Source organism: Homo sapiens, chromosome 9 (assembly GCF_000001405.40).
Source record: "Homo sapiens chromosome 9, GRCh38.p14 Primary Assembly".
Taxonomy (NCBI): Eukaryota; Metazoa; Chordata; class Mammalia; order Primates; family Hominidae; genus Homo; species Homo sapiens.
This window is the reverse complement of record NC_000009.12, coordinates 129,550,672-129,565,861: the sequence shown is the minus strand read 5'-3', so window position 1 is coordinate 129,565,861 and position 15,190 is coordinate 129,550,672. Positions and strand designations below refer to the sequence as shown.

Here is a 15,190-nt window from a genome sequence, read left to right as displayed (position 1 = left end):
CTCCCCCAGGTCTGAAGAGCACACCTGGCTGGTTTCTGGGATTCCTGTGACTATAGAATGCACCTGCTGACAGGGGCCACTGAGAGAGAATTAGCCATGGCATCGCAGGATCAAAACCATCTGGTTGGCCGGGTGCAGTGGCTCACGCCTGTCATCCCAACACTTTGGGAGGCTGAGGGGGACAGATCACTTGAGGTCAGGAGTTTGAGACCAGCCTGGCCAACATGGTGAAACCCCGTCTCTACTAAAAATACAAAAAATATGCTGGGTGTGGTGGTGGGCACCTGTAATCTCAGCTACTCGGGAGGCTGAGGAAGGAGAGTCGCTTGAACCCGGGAGGCAGGGGTTGCAGTGAGCTGAGATCACAACACTGCACTCCAGCATGGGTGATAGAGTGAGACTCTGTCTTAAAAACAAACAAACAACAAAAAATACCAACCATCTGGTTGACGGGTGTGGTGGTTCACGCCTGTAATCCCAGCACTTTGGGAGGCTGAGGTGGGCAGATCACATGTGGTCAGTTCAAGACCAGCCTGGCCCACATGGTGAAACTCTGCCTCTACTAAAAATACAAAAAATTAGCCAGGCATGATGGCGCATGCTTGTAATCCCAGCTACTTGGGAGGCTGAGGCAGGAGACTCCTTGAACCTGGGAGGCAGAGGTTGCAGTGAGTTGAGATTGCGCCACTGCACTCCAGCTTGGGCGATGAGCGAAAGTCCATCTCAAAAACAATAACAACAGCAAAAAAAACACAAAACCATCTGGTCTTCTCCCTGGCCCTAGGAACACTGAGGCACACAGAAAATCAGTGACTCAGCCAGGTCTTCCAGTGTGGAGATAGAGCCAGGATTTCAAACAAGACCTGCCTACCTGGCTACAAGGCCACAAAGCCACGTGTTTTCCATGGCACCCACCTCCCTCCTGCCCTGTGTTTGCCCCCTTCATCAATATCTGACATCCCATCTGCCATCATGACACATGGGGGTGAGCAGAGGAGTGCAGGGAGGGAAGGAGAGGAGGAAGAGGAGAGTAGGAGGAAGATGAACTTCACGGAGCTGCTGGGCCCTGAATACCCATTCCCTAGCATGACACTCAAAGCCATGGCCAACCAGGCCCATCCTCAGTCCTGTTTTTCCCTTCCTCCCCTGCCCCCCGAACTGTGTCTCATTTCCAGCCACATGGGACACCTGGCCACTCCTCACACTCACCTCTCATACTCCTGCCCCTGAGGCTTTTCCTAGACTATTCCCGGTACTCTGCCTAGCAAACCTCTGTACCAGGGATCAGACACGCAGCTGTGAGCTAGGGGGGTCATGGCCCTGGCCCTCATAGTTTTCAGTGAAGGCGACACATGTATATCTGGGTGAGTATCTGGAGGAATGCGTGTGTGCACCTTTCGTTAGCCTTTTTTTTTTTTGAGACAGGATCTCTGTTGCCTAGACTGGATCACGGCTCACTGCAACCTCCATCTGCCCGGCTCAAGGGATCCTCCCATTCAACCTCCCGAGTGGCTGGGACGACAGGTGTGTGCCACCATGCCTGGCTAACTTTTATATATATATATATATATTTTTTTTTTTAAGAAATGGGGTCTCACTATGTTGCCCAGGCTGGTCTTGAACTCCTGACCTTGTGATCCGCCCGCCTCAGCCTCCCAAAGTGCTGGGATTACAGACGTGAGCCACCGTGCCTGGCCTAGTTAGGCTTTTCTAAGCATGAGGACACGTTGCACACACGTCTCCGTATGTATATAAGTGTATGTGCATTGTGACCATAATGGACACGACTGTTGTAAGGGTGAAGGGAAAGCTTCTCCTTCACCCTTGAAGGTTTGCTGAAAAATCACCTCACAAAAAGTCAGATTAGGCCGGGCGCGGTGGCTCACACCTGTAATCCTAGCACTTTGGGAGGCCGAGGTGGGCGGATCACGAGGTCAGGAGTTCAAGACCAGTCTGACCAATATGGTGAAACCCCACCTCTACTAGAAATACAAAAATTAGACGAGTGTGGTGATGCACGCCTGTAATCCCAGCTATTCAAGAGCCTGAGGCAGGAGAACCGCTTGAACCCAGGAGGCGGAGGTTGCAGTGAGCCAAGATCGCCCCATTGCACTCCAGCCTGGGTAACAGAGCGAGACTCCGTCTCAAAAAAAAAAAGTTAGATTGATACAAAAAAAGGATATAAATTTATTATTCCATTGCACATGGGGAGAGTCAGAGTGACTGCCCCATATCCCAGTGGGATACAGATGCTTGCATACCCTACTTCTTAGGGGAAAGGGATATCGGGAAGCATGGGTGACTTTAAGGGGATAGTAAATGATTTTTAGGGTCTGGCACGGTGGCTCACGCCTGTAATCCCAGTACTTTGGGAGACCGAGGTGGGTGGATCACAAGGTAAGGAGATCAAGACCATCCTGGCTAACACAGTGAAACCCCATCTCTACTAAAAATACAAAAAATTAGCCAGGCATGGTAGCACGTGCCTGTAGTCCCACTTACTCAGGAGGTTGAGGCAGGAGAATCGCTTGAACCCAGGAGGCAGAGGTCGCAGTGAGCTGAGATCGTGCCACTGCACTCCAGCCTGGGAGACAGAGCAAGACTGTCTCAAAAAAAAAAAAAAAAACAAAAAAACCCGAATTTTTGGGGAATTCGATGGGCTCAAAGAACATCCAATGGTAAGTCTATTCAGCCTGCAGAGCAGACAATCATTTGTGACAAAAGTCTGTCCAGATTCGTTGACCGACTTTGTCTTCCTTCCTGTGATATGGGTTTAGTTACTGAAAACTCAGAGAAGGGCCCAGAGGTCTTTGTCTTCTTCTTTGGTAGGTCCGGACTCTAGGCAGATAAGGGAACCTCAGCCTGTGCTTTGGAAGAGGTGGAAGATTGAGAGACAGGAGCTGGGTGGGCGGGGGGACAATTGTTCTCCTCAGTGGATCTGTCTGGTCCTTAAGCAGGGAGGGGAAAAGTCTCTTCTAGCATCTATTGATCTCTAAGGGTCTTTAATTCTAAACACTCATGATACCAGGGAGCCGTATTGGGGGATAAAGTTCCCTGCATTCCTTCGCTGTGTCTGTGTAATGCTGACTGCATGGACAGATGTAGAAACACGAATAGCTCCATGCATGCACAATCATGAATATGTTCGCGTGCATGTGAGCATTTACGTATATGTGCATCTTTGTGGACATTTGTATGTGCATCTTACATGTGCCCATGTCTATCCATTTGTACTTGGTTTTCAGTGCACATTTGCGAGCGGGTGAAAATTTCTGTGAATGTTTATAAGCACATGGAACGGGCATCTTTGTGGCTGCGGGAGTTGCACGGGTGCGTATGTAATGGCTGTATGTACATCTGTACGTTTAATGTGCAGTTGCATGCATAGTGCCATGCACAATCTCTGTGCACACCTTTGTGGTTTCTTTGCATATGCATCTGTGTCATTCCCCTTCACACACGTGTGTCTGTGTGGGTATCTTCCCCTGAGTGCACGAACATTTCTGTGGGTGCTTGTGCCTCTGTGCACATTCTGAGAGGTGCCCTGGGTGTGTGCAAGGGCACACTCATTAGGGGTCACAGCACACTGCCTGCCATGGGGAGGAGCGTGCTTTTCCGGGTTTGCTGGAGGACAGAGAGAATGGGGTGGAGCTCGGCTGCTGGTTGCCTGATGGGGGATGCTGAGGGAGGCAGAAGCCATCCAGCGCCACCCAGCTGCCCCTCACCCCTGCCTTCCCACTGCCCAGCTGGGGTTCAGGAAAATGGCTTCCTCCTGCTTCCCGCAGGCCTGCAGGGCTGGTAGGGGCGGGAGCCTGCCGCAGCCTCGAGCAGGCTGAGATCTCCTGGGGCCCTTGCCAAGGGAGCCTCTCAAGCGCCTCTGAGGTTACTGAGCCGTGCTGCGCTCCTGTGTCCACTGCGTGCGCTCGTCGCAGCTGCGCCTGGGCCTCTTTTCTAAAGGTGCCGTGCTCCAGTGGCCGGCTGTGGATCCTGGCTTCTCTCGAGTTTTTCTCCATCTCACAGCCCTGGCTTCAAAGTGCAGGCCGGGGGTGGGCCAGGGCTCTCCTCTTCCGCAACTGGAGCTGCCCAGGCAAGCCAGACACACAAGCATGTCCGTCCTTGGGCTGCATCCTGGCTGACAGCGATGTAGCCCCCGGTGCAGAAAATCAGCTTGCGGGCGATATCTCAGTAATTCAGAACACTTTACCCCAACCCCGAACACCCTCTCTCTGTGTTCCTGTCACCCCTGCACCGGGGATCAGCTACTCACCTTCTGGTGTGACCCCTCATCCTCTAAAGACCTGGGGTCACCCAGAGTCCTCTCTCCCCACTCAGAGTGTCCCTTCTGGGTACCCAGAAAGACACCCTGGCCGACACGCTGGCCTCTCCCTTCCTGCACCCCATCATCCTCAGGGACCTCCACTGTGCCCCCTGTACCACAGACACCCTGACCTGATCACTGCCTCCTCGGCCCCATTCTGAGGTCTGAAGGTCAGATATCCCTAGCTCCACACTGCCCCTGGCCACCTAGCCCTCACTGTCCTCAGAAGCACTTTAAGCTCACCCCCCTCTTCCAGAACCCTCTGTCCCCACAGATCCCACCCCTCCCAGAACTCCTCATGCCTACCACTTTCCATACAATATCCTGTGACAGTTCCGCCCTGGTGCCAGCCCCAGCTGGGGGAACCCAGACCAGCCTCACCAGACTTGACCTTTAAGCAATGGCCTTGTCACTCTAACCCAATCTCTGACACGTATCCTTCGGTTTCCCTGCTGGCTCTCTGCAGGTCACTCATGAGGCCGCCCACGTGGCGCTTGTTGCTTCACCTCTCGAGTAACTGACGGTATGTTCTGGCCCTCAGCTCTCCCGGGCAGTGTCCATCACACTCATGGCTTCCTAGACTTCCATCTCCGGTCTAATCACCTTCCGAACGCCAGAACCATCACGTCTGCTGCCCTTGAACACCTCCCCTAGGTGTCCCTGTGGGCCACCCAGGTTCCCTCCACCCCAGTCTTCCCCACCTGCTTCTCCTTCATGCTTCCCTCTCAGGGAGTTTGAGACCAGGCTGACCAACATGGAGAAACCCCGACTCTACTAGAAATACAAAATCAGCTGGGTGTGGTGGCGCATGCCTGTAATCCCAGCTACTCGGGAGGCTGAGGCAGAATTGCTTGAGCCTGGGAGGCGGAGGTTGCAGTGAGCCGAGATTGCACCATTGCACTCCAGCCTGGGCAACAAGAGCAAAACTCCGTCTCAAAAAAAAAAAAAAAAAAAAAGTAAAAGTAAAAGAAAGTCAATCACCAATAATGCTGGAATATGTCAACTTTTCTCCCACCTCTTGCCACTGATCCAGACCCCATTCCCTCTGCCCGGGTGATCCCTTATAGCTACCCAGGGCTGCGGCTTTGCTCCATTCAAGCCATTTTCCACGCAGCAGCAGCCAGGGCCGTCTTTCCAGAGTGTATTAGGTTGGTGCAAAAGTAACTGTGGTTTTTGCAATTAAAAGTAATTGTAGGCCAGGCACAGCGGCTCATGCCTGTAATCGCAGCACTTTGGGAGGCTAAGACAGTTGGATCACTTGAGGTCAGGAGTTCGAGACCCACCTGGCCAACATAGTGAAACCTGGTCTCCACTAAAAATACAAAAATTAGCTGGGCATGGTGGCACACGCCTGTAATCCCAGCTCCTGGGGGGGTGGGGGGGCAGGGCTGAGGCAGGAGAGTCGCTTGAACCCAGGAGACGACAGCTGCAGTGAGCTGAGATCACGCCACTGCACTCCAGCCTAGGCGACAGAGTGACTCTGTCTCAAAAAAAAAAAAAAAAAAGGAATTGCAAAAACCGCAATTACTTAATAGATCTGACCAAGACTCTCCCCAGGTTCAAACCCCGGCTTCAAACCTTTTGCTCCTTATAGTCTTTTTTTAAAACTCTTATCTGTGGCTCATTGTGTCTCAAGACAGCCAAGCAAACCGAACTGCTAGGAATTTTCCCAATGGAACATTCTCTCTGCAAGTCCTTTGCTCTTGCGGTTGCTCCTCCAGGAGCTCCTGCCTCCCTCTTCTCTTCCCTTCCTTGAGGCTCAGCATGGGAGAGGCCCTGCTGCAGGTGCCCTCTGACCTCTCAGGTAGGGGAGGGGGCCTCTGTCCTCTGCAAACCTGCGCTGAGTGCTCTGGATGGTTCCGTCCCTTGGATTGGGCCTCCCCAAGGGCAAGACCCTGCCTGGTTCACCCTGGCCGCTCATGCAGAGGCCTGCCTAACATAGCTGCTGAATGAATGAATGAATGAATTGAATTGAATAATGGACAAAGCCCAACAGGGAGGGTTAGCATAAAGGGGAGACAGGCCAGGACTGTGGGTCAGCAGACCCTATCCTCCTCCCAGTCCCCCCAGCTTGCTGTGGGCTTCTTTCTAGCTGGTTACGGCTCTGAAGTTCTGTTTTATGCATGACAAAGTGGTCTCCAAGGCATCTGGCTCCAACTGCCACATGCTCACCCATTTCCACAGCCACATGGAGGGAATCACAGTCATGCTGAGCCCATCCTCCTTGGGTGACTGATGGAGAAACTGAAACTCAGGGGTGGGGTGGCTGTGGGTAGGGGAAGAGCTGGACCTAGCGTCGCTCAGCGCTGGAAGCCCACGTGCAAGGAGTGTGGAGAGAAAGGAGTCCCTCATGCCCTGTGTGCTGGAGTGGTGGCCTCCTGGGCTGGCCGGGGCCCTCGGGAGTTGGGGTCAGGACTTCTCCTGTCTGGTCCTTCCCCAGGATTCAGAACCTACCAATAGGGAGGAAGAAGAGCAGGGTCGCTCTGAATGGGTCACATATCCAACTGGGGGAGGACATTGCAGCGGGCAGCTCAAGGTCATCCCGAGGTCAGACTCTGTCCAGCTTAATTATTCATTAACCAGGCGAGTCCAGGCATTGAGTTAATGACCAGCACCAGGCTGGGGCCAGTTCCTCCCCGGAGGGTGGGCGTGACCTGCAAGGTCGGGGCAGCCTGCACCTGAGTAGTTGGTGGAGCATTCCTCCCTCTGTCCCTCCCTCCCTCCCTCCCTCCCTCCCTTCCTTCCTTCCCTCACCCTGTGCCTGGCGATTAGCAGGGCCCTGGAGTCCAGATGGGCAGGGGAGGGGGGCGGGGCAATGGAGACAAGGACAGCTCAAAGTGGTCTGTGCATGGCAGGGATGGCACAGGAGTGCTAGGGAGCCCAGGGGAGACCCCCGGGCAGTGTGGGTGAAATCAGCACAGCTGGTGGAGGGGAGACGTCCCGAGGAGCCCCGCAGGGTCCGTGCAACTGGCCCATATCCCACTGGTTTGGTGCCGTCAGGGTCCTTGGCAGGCTCCCAGCCCACTCCAGCCTGGCTCACCTTTGGCGGCACCCCCTTTTCCTCAGGGCTGTTGCCATCGAGATGACTTCTATCCTTGCTTCCCTTTCGCCGGGGCTCCCTGGGGACTGCCTCCAGTGGCCTGGCCGCCAGGCCACCCCATCCGCTGCGCCTGGCTGTCCTGCAGGGTTTGTGGCCTGGTGGCTGAGGAGGGGACTGAGGGTCCCCGCAGTGGAGGCTGGAGCAGGATGGCCAGAGGACAGTCCCCAGGGGAGTGAGCAGCCAAGGGGAGGGTCCCAGGGGGCGTCGGGGAGAGGGAGGCTCCGAGGACCCGGGCTGGTGGTCTTGTCCTGGCACTGGGACGGGATAGCCTGGGCTTGGGGATCTTGTGTGCTGGGGCCCCGGTATGCACGTGGGAATGGTGGGGTGGGAGAGGAGAGTGAGGCAGAGTTGGATGGAGATGAGTTTTCAGGGTGTGCAGGGTAAGAAGGAGACAGACAGGGAAAAAGCTAGACTGAGCCCCAGCGGACAGGGGTGAGGCGGGGACCACCATGGTGGGGATGTGGGGACAGGGTGTCTCTTTGGAAGGTGTTACGACCCCCCTGACAGCCAGGTCCCCAGCATGGGGGGCCAATCTGGATCCTGACCGGGTGGGCCTAGCACTGGCGCCCCCACTCAAGTAGGAACCCTCGAGAAACCAAGGGGAGAGGGGAGTGGGAGGTGGGCTTCGGGCTTCTGGGCCTGGAGGATGGGTGGTGGGGGTGAGGGTGGAAGCCCTGACCCCAGCCTGGCTGGGGTTGCCCTGGCAGGGGCGGAAGCTGCCACCGCAGCCCTGGGCCAGCCCCACCTCTCCCAACAAAGGCCCAGCGAGGAGAGGGCGTGTTTGTTCAGGCTGGAGGCTGGTGGGGGGCAGGAAGCGGAGTTTCAAAGCGGTGTCACCCTTTGTTACCCCCTCTTCAGTTCCACCTCCCGCCCCAGGCTGCATTCCAGAACCGGAGGGGGTCCTGCCCTGGGAGAAATCCGCTTAGCCAGAGGCTCGGGTTACATACAGCCCAGCTGCGGGCGAGGCCCAGGCCTTCCCAGACTGACACTGAGGGCTGCCCGGACTTTCCCAACTGCTAGACCTGCTCCTGGACCACCCTGTCCCCACCCTGGGACCCCCTTCTGGACCTTGGGCCTTAGGAGGGAGGAGGAAGGAGCCGGGAGGAGAAGAGAAGGGGGAAGGCCCCAGCCCCATCCTCTGTAGATGATGGGGGATGGGGTTTGGGTTGTTTTTCTGGAAGGGAGCGGGGACTGTTGTTTTCTGCCCCGAAGCTGACCTCGGAACAAAGCTTGCCAGGAGATTCCTGGTTTGAAGGAGGTGGGCTGTGGGGAGGGGGATTCTTTCTTTCCTTGTAGGCCACATAGTATCTTCTCTTATTTTTAGTACTTTTTCTTTTTAGTACTTTCTTGATGTATATTTTACGTTTGGTAAAATGCCCTGATCTTCAACGTATAACCCACAATTTCTTACATGTTTGTTGGCAAGACAGCCGATGGCTTCCATCCCTCCAGAGGGAACCGCCAGCCTGACCTCCATCACCACCGACAGTTTTGCCTTTTCACCCAACTGAAATCAGAGCACGCACTCTGCCTCTCCTGGTTTCTGCCCAGCGTACTATTTGGGACCTGTCCCTGTCCAGGCCTGTCTCCGTAGCCCTCCCCTGCCATTGTTCAGTAGTATTTCCCTGTCTGTTCATCCCCTTGCTAATGGCCAGGCCTATTGTTGCTGGTCCTGGGCAATGATATGTGAAGCGCTGTGGGTCACCTGTCTTTGAGGAGAGGCAGGGACTGATGTGACTTTTTATTCCCCAGTACCCCACCAGGAGCAGGCATTGACACAGGGCCCTGGCACATGCTGTTCTCTCAGCCAGGAGCCACTCCGCCCCCTGTCCTTGGAGTGACTGGCTCCTTCTCAGCTTTCAGGTCTCAGCCTAACCGTCACCTTCTCAGAGACACCGTCCCTGACCACTTGGTCTCACAGCATCTCCCATCCCTTCACCCCAGATCTTGTTCTTTGGTTCAGTTATCATGGTGGGATCCCGATCCCACCATGGATCCCGATCCAGACCCCAAGAGAGGGTTCTTGGATCTTGGGCAAAAGGCCGAGGCGGGTGGATCACCTGAGGTCAGGAGTTCGAGACCAGCCTGGTAAAACCCTGTCTCTACTAAAAATACAAAAAATTAGCCAGGTGTGGTGGCCAGTGCCTGTAGTCCCAGCTACTCGGGAGACTGAGGCAGGAGAATCACATGAACCTGGGAGGCGGAGGTTGCAGTGAGCCGAGATCTCCCCACTGTACTCCAACCTGGCGACAGAGTGAGACTCCATCAAATAAAAAAGGGTGGTTACTCCATAGACATAGCAGCCAGGGCTGCTTGTTGCCCACTTTAATGGTTATTTCTTGATGATATGCTAAACAAGGGCCTTCCCAGCCTGAGACGGAGGGCCGCCCGGACTTTCCCAACTGCTGGCCCTGCTCCCGGCAGTTCATGCCTCCCCTTTTTAGGTTATATAGGGCAACTTCCTGGCGTTGCCATGGCATCTGTGAACTGTCGTGGCGCTGGTGGGAGTGTAGCAGTGAGGACGACCAGAGGTTACTCTCATCACTATCTTAGTTTTGTTGGGTTTTAACCAGCTTCTTTATAGCAACCTGTTTTATCAGCAAGGTCTTTATGACCTGTGCCTTGTGCCGACCTCCAGTCTCATCCTGTGCGACTTAGAATGCCTTAACCATCTGGGAACGCAGCCCGGTAGGTTTCAGCCTGATTTTACCCAGCCCCATTCAAGATGGAGTTGCTCTGGTTCACATGCCTCTGACAGTGGGGCCTTTATTGCTATTTGCTGCCATCTTATCCCTGTGCTATTTCTTTTCTGTGGTCCCCACCAGAGATTTTGCATCCCAGTGCCCAGCACAGGACTTGGCACGGGATGATTAATCTGTGGGTTCATCTGTAGGCATTGGGTGGTGCAGACTATGCTGGGCTGAGAAATGCCTGGCCCTGTGCTTGCTGGATGCGGCAGAGACCAGGAAGAGGTGGACACAGCCCCTCACACTCTAAGCCTGGTTGAGGGGGGGCTCAGGCTCCAAGCCCCTGTCCCTGTCCCTGCAGTGAATGGTCTTTTGCAAACAAGAACCAAACATCCTCCTTTTTTTTTTTGAGATGAGGTCTTGCTCTATTGCCCAGGCTGGAGTGCAGTGGTGCAATCATAGCTCACTGCAGCCTCGACTTCCCAGGCTCAAGGGATTCTCTCACCTGAGCCTCCTCAGTAGCTGGGACTATAGGCATGTGCCACCACGCCTGGCCAATTTATGTATTTTTTGTACAGATAGGGTTTTGCCATACTGCCTAGGTAGTCTTGAACTACTGGACTCAAGTGATCATCCCACCTCAGCCTCCCAGGCATGAACCACCTCGCTGGCCTGCCCTTCTGTTTTATCAGTGTGTAGCGGCACTGGATTGGGGGATGAGCCAGCTCTAGGTGCCGGCCTTGTTTAGGCTCAGCCAATTCCTTGGCAGTTGATTGGTTCAGGAGCTCTGGTCTAAGCCAATCAGCACACAGCAGCATCTCCTGGGGATCTAGGTTGGTCCAGGCTGGACCCAGGAGGCCCTCTCTCCCTCCTGCTGGGCTCAAGGAAGGAAGCAGGTGGCCTCCGCTGCTCCCTGAGGAATAAGCTCCCACTGAAGAAGGGACTCCAGAGGACTGCCCACCTCTGGGCTTCCTGTTGTGTTGTGCCATGTGATATCCTTATTGCTTAAGCTAGCCGGGGTCAGATTTCCTGTTACTTACAGCCAAAAGCATCCCCTCTGAGGCAGCGTGCGGAAAAGGAAGCCATGCCATCCAAGCAGACTCCCCTGTGTGGCCCTCAGGCCTCGAAGACCTGGTCCCACCTTCTCTTTCCTTTTTTTCTTTTCTCTTTACTTTTTTTTGAGACGGGGTCTCGCTCTGTCACCCAGGTTGGAGTGCAGTGGTTCGATTTCAGCTCACTGCAACCTCCATCTCCCTGGTTCAAGCGATTCTCCTGCCTCAGCCTCCCGAGTAGCTGGGATTACAGGCGTGCACCACCATGTCCGGCAAATTTTTTGTATTTTTAGTAGAAACGGGGTTTCACTGTGTTGGCCAGGCTGGTCTCAAACTCCTGGCCTCAAGTGATCCACCCGCCTCGGCCTCCCAAAGTGCTGGGATTACAGGTGTGAGCCACCCGCCTGGCCCTCACTGCTAATTTACCACCAGCTGTGAGATTCTCCATTCTCTCAGCTCAGCGTTTCTTGCCTCCTGTCTCTTGCACCTCAGCGGGGGAGCACAGTGGGGTCTGAGTCAGCTCCTGCTAAGGAAAGGACTAAGTGAGCAGAATCTCCTCCTTGTACCTGATGGGCAAAGGTGCAGATGGCACCTGCTAGAGCTGCGTCCTTAAGAGACACACAGGGATCAAGTGCTTGGGGAAGAGCATTAAAGGGGGTATGGGGCCATGCTGCCAGACACCCTTTAGCAAAAGTTTGAGGCAATAGCAAAACCCCGTCTCTACAAAAAATACAACCAGCTGGGCATGGTGGTATGCGTCTGTAGTCCCAGCTCCTCAGGAGGCTGAGGAGGGAGGATTGCTTGAGCCCAGGAAGTCGAGGCTGCAGTGAGCCATGATTGCACCATGGCACTGCAGCCTGGGTGACAGAGCTAGACCCAGAAGGCAACCCCTCTTGCCCTTTCCGTTGATGCCCTGCAGCAACAAAAAACCCTGTCTCATTTTTGCCAGGTTAAAAACCACTTCTGTAACAACACTTGATTTAATCGGATGACAGTTATGATCAGATTACATCAAGCACTTTCTGGGTGTGCATCGTCTGTTAAGCTCTCTATGTCCTTGACTTTGCTGGACTGTGACCTTGTGAGAGGCATGCCGTATGTTATTCTTAGGATAAGGATATGCTTATTGCTTAAGCTAGCCGGGGTGATGACACAGAAGGGAAACTGAGGCCCAGGGAGGGTAGGTGAATCACCCAACATCACCCTGCTTGGGAGAGGCAGGGACAGGATTAGAACTCAGGCCTCCTGATCCAGACTTGAGCACGTTCTCCTGCACACTGCCACACACTGCTGCCTGCAGAGGGCCTGCTGGCCAGTTCTTAGGATCAAAGTCGGGGAAAGGGGGCAGAGAAAAGGGGAGGGGAGCTCTGGGTTCCAGGGGTTGCTCCATCTGGTCCCAGAGGGGTGACTCCATCCAAGAAGGAGTTTCACTTTTTTGAGCTTCAATTTCCTAATCTGTAAAACAGGCACAGTACTGGTATCCACCTGACAAGATTTTTGTGAAAATGACAAGGGCATTTTCATAGGCTGTTCCTCTGCCTCTGAAGTTCTTCCTGGCTTTTGGAGAGACCAGCTCATTCTCACCCTCAGGTCTCAGCTCCAGTGCCCCCTGCCCACCTGCTATGGGTTGAATGTTTGTGTTCCTCCAAAATTCACGTTGAAACTTAATCCCCAATGCACTAGAGGTAGGGCCTTCAGGAGATGATTAGGTGGTGAGGGCTCTGCCCTCACAAAGGAAATTAATCCCTTTAAAAAAGGGCTTGAGGGCCAGGCGTGGTGGCTCATGCCTATAATTCCAGCACTTTGGGAGGCCAAGGCAGGAGGATCACTTGAGGTCAGGAGTTTGAGACCAGCTTGGCCAACATGGTACAACCCCACCTCTACTAAAAATACAAAAATTAGCTGGGCATGGTGGTAGGCGCCAGTAATCCCAGCTACTTGGGAGGCTGAGGCACGAGGATAGCTTGAACCTGGGAGGCAGAGGTAGCAGTGAGCCGTGATTGCCACTGCACTCCAGCCTGGGCAACAGAGGCTCTGTCTCACAAAAAAAAAAAAAAAAAAAAAAAAAAAAGGAAAAAGAAAGAAAGGGCCTGAAGCAGTCTGCTTGGACCTTTTTGCCCTTCCTCCATGTGAGGACACAGCTAAACAGCTAAAAGGTACCATCTTGGAAGCAGAGAACAAGTCCTTAACCAGACACTAAATCTGTTGGTGCCTTGACTTTGGAATTCCCAGCCGCCAGAACTGTGAGAAATAAATTTCTATTGTTTATAAATGACCCAGTCTAAGGCATTTTGTTATAGCCCAAGACACCACCCCTATCCAAAGCAGCCGCCCCGTCCTCCCTTGCTGGCTGGTTGCTGTCCATCTCATTACCTCGCTGATTTCATTTCTGGTCCTTATGACAGGCTGCGCTTCGTTCTGAATTCATTTGTTGTCTCTTCTACCAGTCTGTGAGCTCCATGAGGGCAAGGGCCTGTCTGCCTCCCCACTGCATAGCCCCAGCATCTGGCACAGTGCCTGGCAAGGGGAGGGGCTCTGTAGAAAACTTGCTCAAGTGGTGAATAAAGGCACAAAAAATGCTTACTGCAGTGCTTGCTGCATAGAAAGTGCTCAATACATGCTAGCTGTTGTTCTTAACGATAAAACAAACACAGACTCAAAATTGGAGCCTGTCTCCATATAACAGACCTTTGGGCCACTCTGGGCTCTACCTACTCCAGGCTGGAGTGCAGTGGCTCGATCTCAGCTCACTGAGAGCAGAGGGTGGGGTAGAGTTGGGGACCTCCACCCCCCCGGCCCAAGTATGTTTTGAGTCCTATTTACCATAGCTGTGGGAACAGAGTGGGCAAGGGCTGCACTCCTAAGGTAAGTTCTGGAAGTGGGGAGGCTGGGGGCAGGCCAGGTAGGTGCCAGTGCCCCTGTGAAGTCCTCAGAGACACCCCACACCTCAGCCCTGGGTGAAGCCCACCTGTCATTCCTTTTCATGCCTCTCCCCAGTTCCTTCCCAGCCCCAGAGCACCTGTCATGACCCCTTTGTCTCCTGTGAGGTCCTTGTCTAGAGTTCCTAGCTGCAGCCCTAGGGCTTAGAATGCACTTGGAGCATAGTAGGTCTTCAATAAATAAGTGCTGCATAGATTAGTAAGGTGCATGGGAGGCATCACTGGGGCTGTGGTGTTCTGTTTGTTTGTTTGTTTGAAACACAGTCTTGCTCTGTCGTCCAGGCTGGAATGCAGTGGCTTGATCTCAGCTCACTGTAACCTTCTCCCAGGTTCAAGGGATTCTCCTGCCTCAGCCTACCAAGTAGCTGGGATTACAGGCATGCACCACCACGTGCAGCTAATTTTTGTATTTTTAGTAGAGACGGAGTTTCACCATGTTGGCTAGGCTGGTCTTGAACTCCTGACCTCAAGTGATCCGCCTGCCTTGGCCTCCCAAAGTGCTGGGATTAGAGTTGTGAGCCACGCACAGCACCTGGCCTGTTTTCATTTTTTTAGACACAGTTTCCCCCTGACGCCCAGGCTGGAGTGCAGTGGTGAGATCTCAGCTCACTGCAACCTCGGTCTCCCAGGCTGCAGTGATTCTTATGCCTCAGCCTCCCGGAGTAGCTGGCATTACAGGTGCGCATCACTACATCCAGCTAATTTTTGTATTTTAGTAGAGACGGCGTTTTGCCATGTTGGCCAGGCTTGTCTTGAACTCCTGACCTCAAGTGATCTGCCTGCCTCGGCCTCCCAAAGTGCTGGGATTACAGGCGTGAGCCACCGCGCCCGACCTGGGACTGCTTTTTTTTTTAACCTTTCTTAACCACTGGTGTCTTTGAGAAACCGATGAAATGTTTGGATTCTCTCCAGACAAATGCACCCCAAATGTGACACAGAATTTCAGGGACACCCCCCACCCAAGGTCATCCACAAAGCCCAGCTTAAGATCTGTTTGTCTGAGGGAGAGGGGGCTCCTGAGATCCTGGGGAGACGGTGGGGAAGGTGTTACCAAGGGGGACATGGGGACCCCAACCACCCCACAGCGGGCTGGC

The 15,190-nt window shown here is 54.0% G+C and overlaps 6 annotated features.

The window, feature by feature from the left end:
* Positions 6,820-6,964: an enhancer, noted in NCBI's record as "145 bp enhancer 89 fragment used in the MPRA reporter construct; PK_construct_427". NCBI's record gives its function as "activates an SV40 promoter by MPRA in HepG2 cells {active_cell/tissue: HepG2}" and the evidence as "EXISTENCE:reporter gene assay evidence [ECO:0000049][PMID:23512712]".
* Positions 6,886-6,899: a transcriptional cis regulatory region, noted in NCBI's record as "HNF1 motif; enhancer activity is reduced when this motif is scrambled". NCBI's record gives its function as "necessary for full MPRA enhancer 89 activity {active_cell/tissue: HepG2}" and the evidence as "EXISTENCE:site-directed mutagenesis evidence [ECO:0005528][PMID:23512712]".
* Positions 6,977-7,622: an enhancer, noted in NCBI's record as "H3K27ac-H3K4me1 hESC enhancer chr9:132320519-132321164 (GRCh37/hg19 assembly coordinates)". NCBI's record gives its function as "activates a minimal SCP1, AML or CMV promoter by ChIP-STARR-seq in primed H9 embryonic stem cells {active_cell/tissue: H9 hESC(primed)}" and the evidence as "EXISTENCE:reporter gene assay evidence [ECO:0000049][PMID:30033119]".
* Positions 8,271-8,916: an enhancer, noted in NCBI's record as "H3K27ac-H3K4me1 hESC enhancer chr9:132319225-132319870 (GRCh37/hg19 assembly coordinates)". NCBI's record gives its function as "activates a minimal SCP1, AML or CMV promoter by ChIP-STARR-seq in primed H9 embryonic stem cells {active_cell/tissue: H9 hESC(primed)}" and the evidence as "EXISTENCE:reporter gene assay evidence [ECO:0000049][PMID:30033119]".
* Positions 8,917-9,564: an enhancer, noted in NCBI's record as "H3K27ac-H3K4me1 hESC enhancer chr9:132318577-132319224 (GRCh37/hg19 assembly coordinates)". NCBI's record gives its function as "activates a minimal SCP1, AML or CMV promoter by ChIP-STARR-seq in primed H9 embryonic stem cells {active_cell/tissue: H9 hESC(primed)}" and the evidence as "EXISTENCE:reporter gene assay evidence [ECO:0000049][PMID:30033119]".
* Positions 10,212-10,859: an enhancer, noted in NCBI's record as "H3K4me1 hESC enhancer chr9:132317282-132317929 (GRCh37/hg19 assembly coordinates)". NCBI's record gives its function as "activates a minimal SCP1, AML or CMV promoter by ChIP-STARR-seq in naive H9 embryonic stem cells {active_cell/tissue: H9 hESC(naive)}" and the evidence as "EXISTENCE:reporter gene assay evidence [ECO:0000049][PMID:30033119]".